Genomic DNA, 16553 nt, shown 5'->3' with positions numbered 1-16553 from the left:
GCACGTGTTCACCCCTCCTCAGCCGGCTCTGAAGTCAGCTCCTGCCCAGGTCTCTTCCTTGGTGCTCCCACACCCAGCAGCAACAGACACTGCGCACTGGAGCATGATGGCTTCACCAGGGCTGGAGCAGGCGCCTGAGCATTGTTCACTGCCGTCCGACACACACACACCATGCAACGTGCTTCTGACCAGCGCGCAGATCATCTAGCTCCTCCCACACATGGAAGATATCAACGTCTAAAAGAGAGTTTTCTCACTTTTTATGGTTTTAAAAACTCCTTTCTAAGTAAAAAGAAAAAGTTGATGGAAAAACACCATCTGAGGCCGGGCTCGGTGGCTCACGTCTGTAATACCAGCACTTTGGGAGGCTGAGGTGGGTGGATCACCTGAGGTCAGGAGTTCGAGATCGGGCCTGGCCAACACAGCGAAACCCCGTTTCCACTAAAAATACAAACACTAGCCCGGCGCGGTGGTGCACGCCTGCAATCCCAGCTACTTGGGAGGCTGAGGCAGGAGAATTGCTTGAACCCAGGAGGCGGAGGTTGCAGTGAGCTAAGATCACACCACTGCACTCCAGCCTGGACAACAGAGTGAGGCTCTGTCTCAAAAAAAAAAAAAAAGAAAGAAAGAAAGAAAGAAAAGAAAAAAAAGAAAAACACCATCTAGTGACGACATGCCATGTGAAAGATCCACAGGTGCACGTAAACGTTCTTCATCAGCGCTGAAGGAGCCCCTTCCCCAGTGGTGTTCTGGAACCTTGCCTGATACTGGCTGGTGTTGTGTATGATTCTCATCCTATACCATTTCCAAATTCTTACACACATCACCCTTCTCATTAGTTCTGCCTGTTTTGCACTTCAATACAATCAGGAATATCCTGTGAATTTTTAGTAAACTGCACTTCATTTATATTTCAGGGAAAGAGAACACTCTCAAAAGGTCCTCTATTAAAAGAGGAAGGAAATGAGAGAACCAGGGCCAGGAAACACAGGGCCCAGTCCCTGCCCAGGGGAGACAGGGCGCTTCGCATGTGGGCGGGAGCCAAGAGCCAGGCAAGTGTACCAAGCACAAGAGGCCACTTCACACCCAGGAGAGACTGTCATCAAAGAGATGGACCCTTACAAGTGCTGGCAAGGACGTGGAGAAGCTGGAACCCTTGCGTGCTGCTAGTGAGAATGCAAAATGGTGCGGTTGCTATGGGAAACAGTATGGCGGTTCCTCAACACATCAAAAATAGAATTACCATATGACCTAGCAATTGAAAGCAGGGTCTCAAAGAGATATTTACACACCATGTTCACAACAGCATTGCTTGCAATAGCCAAGGGGTGGAAGCAACCCAAGTGTCCATCAACGGACATCCACTAATGGACAAACAAAATGTAGTCCATTCATACAACAGAACATTACGGCTGGGCGCGGTGGCTCAAGCCTGTAATCTCAGCACTTTGGGAGGCTGAGGCGGGCAGATCACTTGAGCTCAGGAATTCGAGACCAGACTAGGCAACACAGAGAAACTCTGTCTCTACAAAAAAAAAATTTTAAGAAAAAAAAATATATTTTATATATATATATATAATTACATATATACTATTCAGCCTTAAAAAGGAAGGAAATTCAGACACATCCTATAACACAGATGAACCTTAAGGACATTATGCTATGAGAAATGAGCCAAGCACAAAAGATAAATACTGTATGGTCCACTTGTGTAAGGTCCCTAGATAGTCCAAGTCTTAGAGACAGGAAATAGAAAGGTGGGTGCCAAGAGCTGAGGGGAGGGAGGAATGGAGACTTGGCATTTAATGGAGACAGAGTTTCAGCTTGAAATGATGAAAAAGTTCTGGAGCTGGATGGTGGTAACAGCAGCACAATGTGAATATACTTAACAATACTGAGCTTTATACTTAAAAATGGTTAAGATGGTGAATTTTATGTTATGTATATGTTGTCATAATTTTAAAACATGTTTAAATGAGTCCTCTCTGTATGACCCAGCACCTTAACTTCATGGTGCTTATCTAGAAACACTCTTGGACATGTACATGTGGAAGAATATATGATGCTGTTTAAAGCAGCAGTGCAATTTGTAACAGCAACATACACAAGTGATGATCACAATGACCACCAACACGGGAATGTTTAAAGGAGAGGGCTGGGTGTGGTGGCACACGCCTGTAATCCCAGCTACTTGGGAGGCTAAGGCAGGAGAATCACTTGAACCCGGGAGGCAGAGGTTGCAGTGAGCCGAGATCGCGCCACTGCACTCCAGCCTGGGCGACACAGCAAGACTCTGTCTCAAAAAAAATAAAATAAAATAAACAAGAAACAAGATATATTCTTCGACATCTAGTCTGTAATTTTTTTTTTTTTTTTTTTTTGAGACAGGGTCTCACTGCCACCCAGGCGGGAGTGCAGTGAGGCAATCACAGCTCACTGCAGTCTTGAACTCCTGGGCTCAAGCAATCTTCCCACTTCGGCCTCTCAAAGCGCTGGGATGACAGCATGAGCCGCTAAGCTCAGCCTCCTGCTGTCTGATTATTATGCAACAGCTCATAAAGTTGATCTCTATGTACTGACATGGGAAGAGCTCTATGAAATACTGTGAAATAGAAAAGCAAATACACAAGAGTAAGTCACCCTGCATTCCTCACTTCCAAATTCTACATGACGTCCATCGGCAAATCTAGTCTCCGCCTTCAAAATACATGAGAAATCCCATCACTTCTCACACCAGCAACACTGCCTGCCATCTCATCTCTCACAGTTTTCCCCACGTCACCTTGGGTCTTAACATAGTAAATCCCATTAAAATGTAAGTCAGATCATGCACCAGTCCTCTGTTTAAAACATTCTAGTGGCTTCCCATCTTGCTCGGAATAAGAGGCAAGTTCTTTCTGAGAGCCTATGCGTGCACTGCTTCTGTTCACCACGACTGACCAGAGTTCCTCGGCCTCATCTCCACGCGTCTACTCCACGCCAGGCACAGCAGCCAACATGGTGGGCACCTGCCCAGGAGCTGGCCCCCACAACTGCAGTCATTCCCACCTGGAGCCCCTTCCTCCCAGATGTCTATGCAGCTTATCTCTCTCACCCTCCTTAGCTCTTTATTCACACATCAAATGACAATCGCAGGTACCCAAAAAAATGTGTACATCTGTTATGTGTCCTTTTCTTTTTCTTTTGAGACGGAGTCTTGCTCTGTCACCCAGACTGGAGTGCAGTGGCGCAATCTCAGCTCACTGCAACCTCTGTCTCCCAGGTTCAAGCCAATCTCCTGCCTCAGCCTCCTGAGTAGCTGGGATTACAGGTGTGCACCACTGCACCCGGCTAATTTTTGTATTTTTAGTAGAGACAGGGTTTCACCATGTTGGCCAGGCTGGTCTTGAACTCCTGACCTCATGATCCACCCACCTCCGCCTCCCAAAGTGCTGGGATTAACAGCATGAGCCACCGCACCCGGCCGTGTCAATTTTTTAAAAGTGAAAAAAATGTCAACCAACACATAGAATGCAATTTCATAATGTTAAAAAGTACATACTCACAAAAACAATAGCACACAGCTCAATTATCTATGAACACGCACAAAAATACTCCTGAAGGACACATACCAAACTCACATACAATGTATTTCTGAGGAGGAGGTGGGATCCATTGACCAAAGAAAACTGTAGCTTTATTTGCAATGTTTGATTTTTTTCCACAATAAGATTATACATAGAGACTTCTTTTGTAATTGAAAATAAAATCCTTTCCAGTGTAAAAAGGGGAATGGAGAACAAGTAGTCACAATCAGTCACTCCTGGGGGATGGAGAACAAGCAGTCACAGTCACTCCTGGGGGATGCAGAACAAGCGGTCACTGTCAGTCACTCCTGGGGGATGGAGAACAAGCAGTCACTGTCAGTCACTCCTGCAGCAGCTCACCACTCCCATCAGGACAGTCACTTCCTCTTGTACAAAGACATCCACAATAGCAGATCAGAGCTCAGAAGAGGTCACCACGGCCATCCGCGGATGTGACCAGTTCAGTCAGGGCAGACTCGGTGGATGACACAAACCTTCACACACCTGCTGTCCATGCAGTGATATGACACCAACCGAGGAGAACGCAGAAGCAAACTCATCACTCATGACAAATACAAACGTGTGCATGAGAATACACAAAACGCACTGCTAAGTGATGGTAATCAAGTGGATAGCGGTTGGACAATCTATTAAAATTTTATTTTCTAAGTATTTCCATAATATTATAAAACTATCCCTTTTTAAAATCTCATTTAGACAGTACAAATGCTCTACATTGATATTTCTCTTCACAATAAAGCAGATATGCTTATTCTTCCCAAGTGATCATTTCAAGAGCCTCCAGCAAGCACAGGCATCAGTGTGGCCCTCCATGTGCTCTGAGGAGGAGGGGTGCAGCGCTGGCAGCCGGCCACGGCCCAGTGTGGGATAAAGAGTCCAGCAGCGTGGCAAGGTATGAGATGAACACATGAAAATGAACCGAGTTTATATAAACTACCAATGAAGAATATAAAAATGAAATTTCAAGAACAGTTCCACGCTGGGCACAATGGCTCACTCTTATAATCCCAGCACTTTGGAAGGCCGAGGCAGGCAGATCACTAGAGGTTAGGAGTTCGAGACCAGCCTGGCCAACATGGTGAACCCCTGTCTCTACTAAAAATACAAAAATTAGCCAGGCGTGGTGGCGCATGCTTGTAATCCCAGTTACTTGGGAGGCTGAGGCAGAAGAATCACTTGAACCCAGGAGGCAGAGGTTGGAGTGAGCCGAGATTGTGCCACTGCACTCCAGCCTGGGCAACAGAGTAAGACTCCATCTAAAAAAAATTCCAAACCAAAAAGAATACTAAAGAAATAAATTTATCAAAACAAGTTCAAGCTTGTACAATGAAACTACAAAACATAGTTGAAAGAAATCAAAGAAGTTTCAATTAAATAGAAAGACGCCCCATGTTGAAGGATCAGAGACCACACCGTGAAGACGGTGACACGATGACGTGCTCTGACTTTATCCTTTCAGGCTATTATAACAAACTGCCTTCATGTGGGTGGCACAGACCCAACAGAAATTTATTTGTTTAAGTTCTGGAGGCTCGGAAATCCAAGATCAAGGTGCTGGCAAATTCAGCGTGTGGCCAGGCTCTCATTTCCGGGCTCATGGCCTGCCATCTTCTTGCCGTGTCCTCGCGTGACGGGTAGGAGTCTCTCCCAAGCCTCTTTTCTAAGGCACTAATCCCATTCATGAAAACTCTGCCTCATGACAAAAGCACCTCCCAAAAGCCTCCCCTGCTAACACTAACACCTTGGTTTTGGGGGGAACACAAACACTCAGGCAACAGCACTACCTAAACTCTACCTGAACTCTACCTAAACTCCTCCACCTAAACTCTCTACCTGAACTCTACCTCAACTCTCTACCTCAACTCTACCTCAACTCCTCCACCTAAACTCTACCTAAACTGACCCAATGCAGCCCCAAGTACAATCTCAACTGGCTTTGCTGCTGTTATTGTTGCAGAAAATGATAAGCTGATCCTAAAATTCATAAGGAAATTCAGAGGGTCAAGAGAGCCAAAACAATTGGAAAAAGAAGGATACAGCTGGAGGACTCACATTTTCCCATTTAATACACAGCTACAATAATCAGGACAGTGTGTTACTGGCAAAAAGTCAGATACACACATCAATGGGATTGAATTATGAACCTAGAAATAAGCCCATACCTTTACAGTATATCGATATTTGACAAGAACAGACCATGAATTTGATAAGGAAGACCTATCAACTATGTTGCTGGGGCAACTGGATTACCACATGCAAAAGAATGAAGTTGGGGCCAGCGCGGTGGCTCATGCCTGTAATTCCAGCACTTTGGGAGGCCGAGGCGGGTGGATCATGAGGCCAGGAGATCAAGACCATCCTGGCTACATGGTGAAACCCCGTCTCTACTAAAAATACAAAAAATTAGCTGGGCGCGGTGGCGGGCGCCCGTAGTCCCAGCTACTCGGGAGGCTGAGGCAGGAGAATGGCATGAACCCGGGAGGCAGAGCTTGTAGCGAGCCGAGATCACGCCACTGCACTCTAGCCTGGGTGACAGAGCGAGACTCCATCTCAAAAAAAAAAAAAAAAAAGAAAGAATGAGGTTGGACCCCTACCTCATGCCATGTATAAAAATTGACTCAGCTGGGCACAGTGGCTCACACCTCTAATCCCAGCACTCTTGGAGGCCAAGTAGCTTGAGGCCAGGAGTTCCAGATCAGCATGGGCAACATGGCAAACCCTGGTCTCTACAAAAAATACAAAAACTAGCCGGGGATGGGGGTGCACACCTGTGGTCCCAGCTACTCAGGAGGCTGAGGTGAAAGGAATGCCTGAGCCCCAGAGGTCAGGGCTAGAGTGAGCTGTGATTGCACCACTGCACTCCAGCCTAGGTGACTGAGCGAGACCCTGCCTCAAAAAATAAAAAAATTAAAAAAATTTTTAAAACTGCCTCAAAATAGATAAAAAAAACAAATATGAGATAAAACTATAAAACTCTTACAAGAAAACACAGGGGTAAGTCTTCACAACCTTGAGTTAGGCAACAATTTCTTAAATTATCACACCAAAAGCACAAGCAACCAAAGAAAAAACAGATAAATTGGACGTCATCAAAACTAAAAACATCTGTGCTGCAAAGGACACCATCAAGAAATAAAAAGACAACTTAAGGAACGAGAGAAAATACTTCCAAATCATGTATCTGGTAAGGGCCCAGTATCTGGAAAATATAAAGAACTCTTCCAAGCCTGGCACAGTGGCTCACACCTGTAATCCAGCTACTCAGGAGACTGAACTGGGAGTGCCACCTGAGTCCAGGGGCTGGAGACCAGCCTGGGCAACACAGTGAGATCCCGTGACTGACTGACTGACTAAATAAATGAATAATCTTACAACGCAATAAAAAGACAAATTCCAAAATGGGCAAAAGATCTGAATAAACATTTCTCCAAAGATATGCAAACAGCCAATAAATACATGAAAAGATGGCCAACATCATTCATTATGCATTGCAGAAATGTAAGTCAAAACCACAATGACATACCACGTTGCTCCCACTAGGATAGCTACAATCAACAAAATGGACAGCAAAAAGTGTTGGTGAGGAGTAGAGAAATCTGAACCCTCATGTATTGCTAATGGAAACACAAAATGATGGAGCTACCATGAAAAACTGCTTATCAGTTTGACCTCGGGAAGTTAAACACAGAAGTACCACATGATCCAGCAATTCCACTCCTAGGTATATACCCCAAAGAACTGAAAACAGATACTCGCATATACATGTTCGAAGCAGCATTATTCACAAGAGCCAGAAGATAGGAAAAAACTCATGTGCCCATTAACAGATGAATGAATAAACAAAACACAGTATATATCCAGGAATGGGTTCTGATACCTGCTACAACCTGGGTGAATCTTGAAAACCTTATGCTACATGACATAAGCCAGACACAAAAGGACAAATATTGTATAATTCCACTTACATGAAATATCGGGTTTAAGCAAATTCAGAGACAAAAAGTCTATCAGGGGTTACCAGGAGCTGGGAGGAGGAAGATAAGAGAAGTTACTGTTTAATGGATACAGAGTTTCTGCTTGGGGTGATGAAAATGTTTTGGAAACAGACTGATGACGGTTACAATGGTTGTTATGCAACACTGTGAAGGTACTTAATGCCACTTAATAGCACACTTAGAAATGGCTAAAGTAGTAAAATTTATGTTAAGTATACTTTATCACAATAAAAAAACCAGCAAGGGGAAAAAAGATTTAGAGGTATACAAACAAACCTTACAGATGCAATCATAAATTTCTTTAATTTGTGGCTATGAGACCAATGCAATTATTAGAAAAGACTCCTTTAAAAGGAAAAATACAATGTATATGCAGTAATTCAAATCAGAAAATAATAACTTGTGGAGTAAAAAAACAGGACATAGCAAAATACCACATATATATTTTAAACATACATATAAACTTCCTGACGTTGACTAGTTATATCATAATTCAGTAAAAGAATGGCTTTGTACGCTGGGTATGGTGGCTCATGCCTACAATCCCAGCACGTTGGGAGGCTGAGGTGGAGATCGCCTGAGCTCAGGAGTTCGAGAGCAGCCTGGGCAAAGTGGTAAAACCCTGTTTCTACCAAAAATTGAAAAAATTAGCCGGGCCTAATGGCACATACCTGTGGTCCCAGCTACTTGGGAGGCTAAGGTAGTAGGATTGCTTGAGCCTGGGAGGTGGAGGTTGCAGTGAGCCAAGATCACACCACTGCACTCCAACATGGGTGACAGAGTAAGACCCCATCTCAAAACAAAATCAAAAACAACAACAACAAAAAATAATGGCTTTGTAGGAAATACACGCTAATGTATTTAGGAATGAAGGGGCATCTAGGCAACTTTCAAACGGCTCAAGAAAAACATCTCATTTATCACACTTGCAACTTTTCTATTCAGTTGAAATTATTTCAAATTAAAAACAGTTGGCCAGGCACAGTGGCTCACCCCTGTAATCCCAGCACTTTGGGAGGCCAAGGCGGGCAGATTGCTTGAGTCCAGGAGTTTGAGACCAGCCTGGGCAACATGGCAAAACCTCGTCTCTACAAAAAATACAAAAATTAGCCAGGCGTGGTGGCATGCTCCTGTCCCAGCTACTCAAGAGGCTGAAGTGGGAGAATCACCTGAGCCCGGGAGGTCGAGGCTACAGTGAGCCGTGACTGCAACCACTGCACTCCAGCCTGGGTGACAGAGTGAGGCCCTGTCTCAAAAAACAAGCAAAAAAACAAACAAACAAACAAAAAACAGTTAATAGGAAAAAAATGAAATATATACAAAGCAATATTATATTGTTGACGGGTTCAAGCATCTCTCTAAAAAATTAAAGGCAAAGATCTTGAAGGATATACATCAAACTCATCACAATACAAGCTGCGGGGGTGGAGAGTGAGGGGGTAGGTAGGGACATTCTGCTTGAATGGGATTTGATTTTGAAAAGATAAACTCGTGTCATTGTATAATTTTTTTAATTTAAATAAAGGAAATTAATAGGGAAAAAATAAAAACTATGCATAAGCCAATTACTTTAACATTCAAGTATAACCTTCCAAACATTTTTCTGTGCAAATACGCTGATAAAGGTATAATTTACACATATTATATAAATGAGATACTACACATACTGTTAGACGACCACTTTTCCCTTAACCAATATGAGCAAAAAAATCTACATCATAGCCAGTCATGATGGTGCACCTGTAGTCTCAGCTACTTGGGCTTGAGCCCAGGAGGTTGAGGCTGCAATGAGCCATGATTGTGCCACTGCACTCCAGCCTGGGCAACATAACATGACCTCATCTCTATTAATTAATTCACATATTCACACAGTCGTTAAATGTTTGGAAGGTTATACATGAATGTTAAAGGCACTGGCTTATGTATAGTTTTTACTCCCCCTCCCAGCCTTATTAATTCCCTGGGGGCACCAGCAGAAATTCTCACTGCTATTTAGCCTTATCGTAGCACCAAATAGCAGATCCGCTTTTACCTCAGGGACTCTGATCTCTTGTCTACAAATGCCATTTTAACAAAGATTCAAATAAGTGTAATATATTCTGTCTCTGAGCTTGTATCCCATAGTAGCAGCTTTACTGATGATTTTAATAAAGTCTATTAAATGAGAATGCCTGTCAAACAGTGACCTAACTAACCCATGTAACAGAAACACAATTTTGGCTTTTATGCTTATTAATATAACTGAATCTAGCTGTGGAAAGAACTAGAAACTGAAATAAAAGTGGTGTGCGAAAATCCTGCAAACCCAGAGTTAAGGCCAGGGCACACAGGCCCTTCCGCCTGACTCTCAGTTCCAACTGGTGCAGCGTGTGGGCACTCACTCGCACGTGCAGGGCAGCCCCTGCAGGCAGCGCACCTGTTCGCAGCTGGGCTGGAGTGACCCATCGTCCTAGGGGCCCAGCACTGCCTGTCCAGTAACAGAAATCACATCCTTCCCCACCTCTCCAGCCGTGGGGCCTGCGGGTCTCAGTGCAGCACTGAGACTAACAGAGCAGCCGTCATCCTCAGGGGGTTGGATATGACCCCAGGGACAGCTCACCGCCCACGGGGAAGGCGGCACACAGAAGTAAAGCCTCTCCAAGCTCCTTGTCATGTGAGGTGACAAGTGGCCTCTTTAGCAGAAGCTGATCTAAGCTGGTTTCTGCCACCTGGTGAAGAGGCCCAGGGTCACACCTCTATCTCAAGGCATCCCAGCGGCTAGCAAACTCTAGCACAGCCCTGCAACTCTGGCCGCCAGGGAGACGCTCGCTACAGCAGCCTGAACTTGGCTAGTTCAGGCTAAGATTTGAGAAAGATAAAAGTTCTCAGTCAAAAAATGACTTCTTAGAAATCATAAATTTTCCATCAAAAATAATAAACTCAGTATTTCCTCACATAACACATAAAGGTTGGTACTGGGGGGAAAAAACAACAGTTCACCTGACATTTTTAACTTTTTGAGATTTTCAAGTATTTAATAAATTCCAAACCCAGTGGCTGCTTTAAAGAGGACGATTTTGGCCGGACACGGTGGCTCACGCTTGTAATCCCAGCACTTTGGGAGGCTGAGGTGGGCGGATCATGAGGTCAGGAGATTGAGACCATCCTGACGAACACGGAGAAACCCCGTCTCTACTAAAAATACAAAAAATGAGCGGGCGTGGTGGGGGCGCCTGTAGTCCCAGCTACTCGGGAGGCTGAGGCAGGAGAATGGTGTGAATCCGGGAGGCAGAGCTTGCAGTGAGCCGAGATGGCACCACTGCACTCAAGCCTGGGCGACAGAGCGAGACTGCCTCAAAAAAACAAACAAACAAACAAAAAAACACAAAAACCGCGAGGACGGTTTCACTGTGAGGAGAGCTTCCCGCATCAGTGACCCGCCTCACGCTTACGTACCAGACACACTGCAAACTTTCCAGGGAATGAATGAGCACAATGTCTCACCACACAAACACCTGGAGGGGCACATGGACTTAGCAAAAGTCAGATCTGGTCAAAATACAGGAGGGAAAAGCAGAATGAGTGTGTGCGATCCAGAGGTGCAGGGGAGACTCGGATGCCTCGGCACCAGCTGTGCCTCATGGGAAACTGGAGACAGGAGAGAAAGTGGACGGGCGTGGGAGGCTTCCTGGGGACAAGGGAAGCCTGTGAAGGTATCAGGAAAGCAAACAGATGTCACCTGGACAAGCAGGGAAATTAGAAATACCAAGGCAGTGGACAATTCTGAATTGCTGGAGAGAAAAAACAACATATTTTGCTACTACAAATAACGAAGGAATTTTAGTCAAAGCAGTTTTGTACTGTTTTTGTATCAATAATATATTAAGCCAAGTTCCTCAGGATCTATAATTATATATTTTATAGGCCAAAAGAATTTGTGGGATGTGTAATGCAGCTACTACAAAGTTATAGCAAAATCCTGAGGCCTGGAGCTAAATACAATTCTCAGGGTTCCAAAGTAACCCCTGCACACTTAGATGCTGGTTACAGACACGCGGCAAAAACACTGAAAATGTGGCAGATTCCATCACCTGCCCCAGCAGGACAGCTCCCCGGGGACAGAGAACTGAACCACCCAGTTCTCCCTCCTTTCTTGCTTGCAGTTCTCAAGAAAAACTTTCCAATGTGCTGGGAATGCAACACCCTGAGATAAGGAGCAGCTGAGAGTGGCCTGGGCTTTGCTCCTGTCCCTCCCACAACAGGGTGTCCTAAAACTCAGTCCAGCGGGTCAGGTGGCCCCGAGTATAAAACCCAAAATAGCACTTTCGGGGTCTCCCAACTGCAGTACAACATAGGGCACACACAGATAATGCAGACAAGACCCCATCCACCCTGGCCACTTGCCTGAGCCTTGGGGGCCAGATCACCACGAGCCCCGGCATCTGCTGTCCCCTGCTCATCTGTGAGTGACAAGCCTGCTTCGTGCAACTCGCACGCAAGTGTCCGGCCTCACCAGTCTCACGCAGCGGCCCCAGTGTGGTGTGGGGAGCAGCTCGGGGTTAGGGTCTCACAGGTGGTGCCCCGCACACAGTGCACCTTCTTTGCATCCCCCCACACTGAGGCCTCTCTGGAAGACTGCAGTATCTAATTTCCAACTACCTTCTGCCATGGTTGCTAAGAAAACATGGTGCAGGACCATCTCACAATGGACAAACAGTACTGATGAAAAACACTGGTATCTCACACAGAACGTGAACAGTACAATCTACCTTTTCTCATGGACTATTCCTTCTGGTAAATCTATACATAATTTATTTCCATGCAAATTATGACCCACTTGATAATTGTTTTTTTGAGACAGAGTCTGGCTCTGTCGCCCAGGCTGGAGTGCAGTGGCACAATTTCAGCCCACTGCAACCTCTGCCTCTCCAGTTCAAGTGACTCTCATGCCTCGGCCTCCCAAGTAGCTGGGATCACAAGCGTGCACCACCACACCTGGCTAAATTTGTATTTTTAGTAGAGACGGGGTTTCTCCATGTTAGCCAGGCTGGTCTTGAACTCCTGGCCTCAAGTGATCCACTCGCCTCGGCCTCCCAGAGTGCTGGGATTATGGGTGTGAGCCACCGCACCTGGTCCCACCTGATGCTTTTAATAGCATAAGCAACTAAAAAAAAGCCACAAGACTTTCATCTAAAAACAGGAACACAATACAAGATACAGATACAACGTAGAGGCATTTCGCATCAGCAGGAAGGGGGAATACAATACAAGATACAGATACAACGTAGAGGCATTTCACATCAGCAGGAAAGGAGAATAATCAAACACTCACTGAGACACTGAGGCAGCTGGCTAAGTACTGGGAGGAGAAGGCCATCAGCATTGCAGATCAATGAGTGAAAGAATCATAAAACAATAAATCACAAAAACAGCAGGAAAAAATACCTGACAGCCCTGAAACAAGGAACTCCTGACTCTAGGCACAATGCCAAGGTCAGAAATCACAAAGGAAAAGCTTTACAGATTTAACTACCAAAATATTTCAAACATTTATATGGTAAAAATGAATAAATAAACTTTAAAACACAGAAAAAAATATCCAATGTATTTGGCTAAGTACAATAGCTTTACTTACTCTTAACTCTATAAGGAAAGAACTACAAATCAGTTTTTTAAAAAAGACAACATAAAAACGGGCAAATGAATTAAACAGGCATTCCCAAATGGCCAACAGACATACAGGAAAATGCTCAACCCCATCAGTGCTCAGGAATTAGTAAGAAGAGGAGGAAACACCTCCCAGCGCCTTCTGTGAGAACAGCATTACACAGAAAACAAAGGGAACTCCACATCAGTAACCCCTAACAAAACATCAGCAAATGAATGCAACCGCATGTCAAGAGGGTGCCACACTGAGGACCACCCGAGATGTATCCCAGGTGCAAGGCTGCTTGAACCTGAAGATCAATCGCAGCAGTCCCCTGATCCGTGGTTTTGCTTGCCACAGTTTCAGTTACCCACAGTCAACCACAGTCCAAAAATATTAAATGAAAAATTCCAGAAACAAACAATTTCTCAGGTCGGGCACAGTGGCTCACACCTGTAATCCCAGCACTCTGGGAGGCCGAGGCGGGCAGATCACGAAGTCAGGAGTTCGAGACCAGCCTGGCCAACATGGTGAAACCCCGTCTCTATTAAAAGTACAAAAATTAGCTGGGCATGGCGTGTGCCTGTAGTCCCAGCTACCCAGGAGGCTGAGGCAGGAGAATCACTTGAACCCGGGAGGCGGAGATTACAGTGAGCGGAGATCGCGCCATTGCACTCCAGCCTGGGCGACAGAGCCAGACTCCATCTCAAAAAAATAAAATAAAATAAAATAAGATAAATAAACAAATTCTCAGTTTTCAGCTGCACACTGCTCTGAGTAGCATGCTAACTCTGGCACTGCACCATCAGTCCTGCCCTGGATGTGAGTCCTTTCTCTGTCCCTGTGTCCATCCTGTAACCAATGCCCATCTGCCAGCTGCTGGGCAGCCGTCTCCCTCGTCAGATAGACAGATCACAAGACGCCGACTGAGTAGAGTGCAATACGTTTTTCGGGGGGAGCGGGGGGGGGGACATTCATATAACTTTTACTGTGCCTGATTTATAAACTAAACTTTACCATCGGTATATGTGTCTAAGAAAAAAACCTGGTATATAGAGAGTTCAGTACTATCTGTGATTTCAGGCATCAGCTAGGGATCTCAGAAGGTATCATCCCAGGTGAGTGAGGCTATCCCAACGCGGCGAGACAGGAACACCAGACAGAACACGCACGGCTGCACGCAGGGAACTGACACGGACAGAAAGCACATGATCGTGACAACGGAGGGAGAAAAAGCATTTCACAAAATTATTTCACAATAAAAAGTTCAACCTGATAAAGGATATCTACGAAAATCTTGTGGTTACCAACTTACTCAGCAGCGTTATGGTGAAAGGCCTCATGCTTCCCCCCAGCGATCAGGAAAAGCCATGGAGGTGCCACTTCCACAGCATTCAAACACTGTGCTGGGGGCTCTAGCAGTGTCATCAGGAGAGAAAAAACAAATCACAAGAAACAAAAATGGCCCCTAATCTTACCACCAACAGTAAACATCTTAGTATATCCCTTACAGATTTTTTATATTAGTGGATTATATACTAGTTTTTAATCTATTTTTCCACTAAACCTGATTAAGATTTTGACAACATTATTATTATTATTATTATTTTTGAGACGGAGTCTCGCTCTGTCGCCCAGGCTGGAGTGCAGTGGCGCCATCTTGGTTCACTGCAAGCTCCGCCTCCCGGGTTCACGCCATTCTCCTGCCTCAGCCTCCTGAGTAGCTGGGACTACAGGCGCCCGCCGCCACGCCCGGCTTTTTTTTTTTTCTTTTTTTGTATTTTTAGTCGAGACGGGGTTTCACCGTATTAGCCAGGATGGTCTCAATCTCCTGACTTCGTGATCCGCCCGCCTCCGCCTCCCAAAGTGCTGGGATTACAGGCGTGAGCCACCGTGCTCGGCTGACAATACTATTTTTTTAAGATACACAACAGTGTTGTGTTATATAGTAACAGCACAATCTACCCAACCAACTCTTTTTGTCAATTATAAACACCACTGTGGCTGACTCTGTGTACCCCCTTCATTAAAAATGCCTAGTCCTGGCTAACACGATGAAACCCCGTCTCTACTAAAAATAGAAAAACTTAGCCGGGCGTGGTGGCGGGCGCCTATAGTCCCACCAACTCGGGAGGCTGAGGCAGGAGAATGGCGTGAACCCGGGAGGCAGAGCTTGCGGTGAGCAGCCCGGACGAAAGAGGGAGACTCCATCTCAAAGAAAAAAAAAATTAAAAATGTCCAGTCAGGCAAGTCCTGGTGGCTCACGCCTGTAATCCCAGCACTTTAGGAGGACGAGGTAGGCAGATCCCTGGAGTCCAAGAGTTCAAGACCAGCCTGGGCAACATGGCAAAACCCCCGTCTCTACAAGAAAATACAAAAGTTAGCCAGACATGGTGCCACACGCTGTAATCCCAGCTACTTGGGAGACTGAGACAGGAGAATCGTTTAAACCTGGGAGGTGGAGGTTGCAATGAGCAGAGATTGCGTCACGGCAATCCAGCCTGGGCGACAGAGCGAAACTCTGTCTTAAAAAAAAAAAACTCCAGTCAGTGGCTGGCTGTGACAACTCATGTCCGTGATCCCAGCACCTTGAGAGATCGAGGTGGGAAGATCGCTTGAGCCCAGGTGTTCAAGATCAGCCTGGGCAACAAAAGCGTTGGAGAATTTTGCTCCTTAGTTCAGCTAAAATCCGGTTCTTGTCACACAACCAGGAAAATTTAGACATGAGGACAGGACACACTAAAGGGTGAGTAGAGCAAGGTTTTATTGGGCAAAAAGGGAAAAAAAAAAATTCTCAGCAAAGCGGGATGGAGTCCTGCTTACAGGACCCCCATCTCACAGATGGAATCCCAGGCCCTCACCCAGGAACTGAAAAGAGAAGCTCCTCCCCTGCGGAAGGCGGAATTCCGTGACCCCACCCACTTCCCCCAGTGCGCATGTGGGCTCCAGTCCCCTGTGGCTCCACCCACTTCCCCCACTGCTCATGCGGACTCCAGTCCCCTGTGGGCAGGTTCCCTCCTCTGCACAAAAGCATTTGGCGTAAAGGCTTGCGGGGGCAGGGCGGAGATTCTCCGGGGACTCCTTTTTATCTGCCTAGGCATTTGGCTGTCTCATAAGGAGACCCCGTCTCTACAGATAATGTAAAAATTAGCCGGGTGTGGTGGTACACACCTGTAGTCCCGGCTACTTCAGAGGCTGAGGCAGGAGGATCACCTGAACCCGGGAGGCGGAGGTTGCAGCGAGCAGAGATCGCGCCACTGCACTCCAGCCTGGGCAACAGAGTGAGACCCTGTCTAAAAAAATAAAATATAGGCCGGGCGCGGTGGCTCACGCCTGTAATCCCAG

The 16553-nt window shown here is 45.8% G+C and overlaps 1 protein-coding gene and 1 long non-coding RNA gene across 32 annotated transcripts in view, besides 7 other annotated features; both read right to left on the bottom strand.

Moving 5' to 3' along the window:
- EHMT1 (euchromatic histone lysine methyltransferase 1) overlaps nucleotides 1-16553 on the bottom strand; it is a 217123-nt gene that overhangs the window by 143240 nt on the left and 57330 nt on the right. The window lies entirely within an intron of this gene.
- Nucleotides 2481-2983: an enhancer, noted in NCBI's record as "H3K4me1 hESC enhancer chr9:140584357-140584859 (GRCh37/hg19 assembly coordinates)". NCBI's record gives its function as "activates a minimal SCP1, AML or CMV promoter by ChIP-STARR-seq in primed H9 embryonic stem cells {active_cell/tissue: H9 hESC(primed)}" and the evidence as "EXISTENCE:reporter gene assay evidence [ECO:0000049][PMID:30033119]".
- LOC124902319 (uncharacterized) lies at nucleotides 3655-12475 on the bottom strand. Its single transcript, XR_007061886.1, has 2 exons — nucleotides 7553-12475; nucleotides 3655-3874 (listed from the first exon to the last, which is right to left on the bottom strand). It is a non-coding gene; the product is annotated as an uncharacterized LOC124902319 (long non-coding RNA).
- Nucleotides 9504-10480: an enhancer, noted in NCBI's record as "H3K27ac-H3K4me1 hESC enhancer chr9:140576860-140577836 (GRCh37/hg19 assembly coordinates)". NCBI's record gives its function as "activates a minimal SCP1, AML or CMV promoter by ChIP-STARR-seq in primed H9 embryonic stem cells {active_cell/tissue: H9 hESC(primed)}" and the evidence as "EXISTENCE:reporter gene assay evidence [ECO:0000049][PMID:30033119]".
- Nucleotides 11534-12133: an enhancer, noted in NCBI's record as "H3K27ac-H3K4me1 hESC enhancer chr9:140575207-140575806 (GRCh37/hg19 assembly coordinates)". NCBI's record gives its function as "activates a minimal SCP1, AML or CMV promoter by ChIP-STARR-seq in naive H9 embryonic stem cells {active_cell/tissue: H9 hESC(naive)}" and the evidence as "EXISTENCE:reporter gene assay evidence [ECO:0000049][PMID:30033119]".
- Nucleotides 11537-11831: a silencer, noted in NCBI's record as "tiled region #8502; K562 Repressive DNase unmatched - State 8:EnhW". NCBI's record gives its function as "represses a minimal TATA promoter and a strong SV40 promoter by Sharpr-MPRA in K562 cells {active_cell/tissue: K562}" and the evidence as "EXISTENCE:reporter gene assay evidence [ECO:0000049][PMID:27701403]".
- Nucleotides 12134-12735: an enhancer, noted in NCBI's record as "H3K27ac-H3K4me1 hESC enhancer chr9:140574605-140575206 (GRCh37/hg19 assembly coordinates)". NCBI's record gives its function as "activates a minimal SCP1, AML or CMV promoter by ChIP-STARR-seq in naive H9 embryonic stem cells {active_cell/tissue: H9 hESC(naive)}" and the evidence as "EXISTENCE:reporter gene assay evidence [ECO:0000049][PMID:30033119]".
- Nucleotides 12668-12717: an enhancer, noted in NCBI's record as "active region_29360". NCBI's record gives its function as "activates an Ori minimal core promoter by ATAC-STARR-seq in GM12878 lymphoblastoid cells {active_cell/tissue: GM12878}" and the evidence as "EXISTENCE:reporter gene assay evidence [ECO:0000049][PMID:35858748]".
- Nucleotides 13459-14175: an enhancer, noted in NCBI's record as "OCT4-NANOG-H3K27ac hESC enhancer chr9:140573165-140573881 (GRCh37/hg19 assembly coordinates)". NCBI's record gives its function as "activates a minimal SCP1, AML or CMV promoter by ChIP-STARR-seq in naive H9 embryonic stem cells {active_cell/tissue: H9 hESC(naive)}" and the evidence as "EXISTENCE:reporter gene assay evidence [ECO:0000049][PMID:30033119]".

The sequence above is a fragment of the Homo sapiens genome, chromosome 9 (genome assembly GCF_000001405.40).
Source record: "Homo sapiens chromosome 9, GRCh38.p14 Primary Assembly".
NCBI lineage: Eukaryota > Metazoa > Chordata > Mammalia > Primates > Hominidae > Homo > Homo sapiens.
Note: the sequence above shows the minus strand (reverse complement) of the source record. Positions and strands in the feature narration are given on the sequence as shown.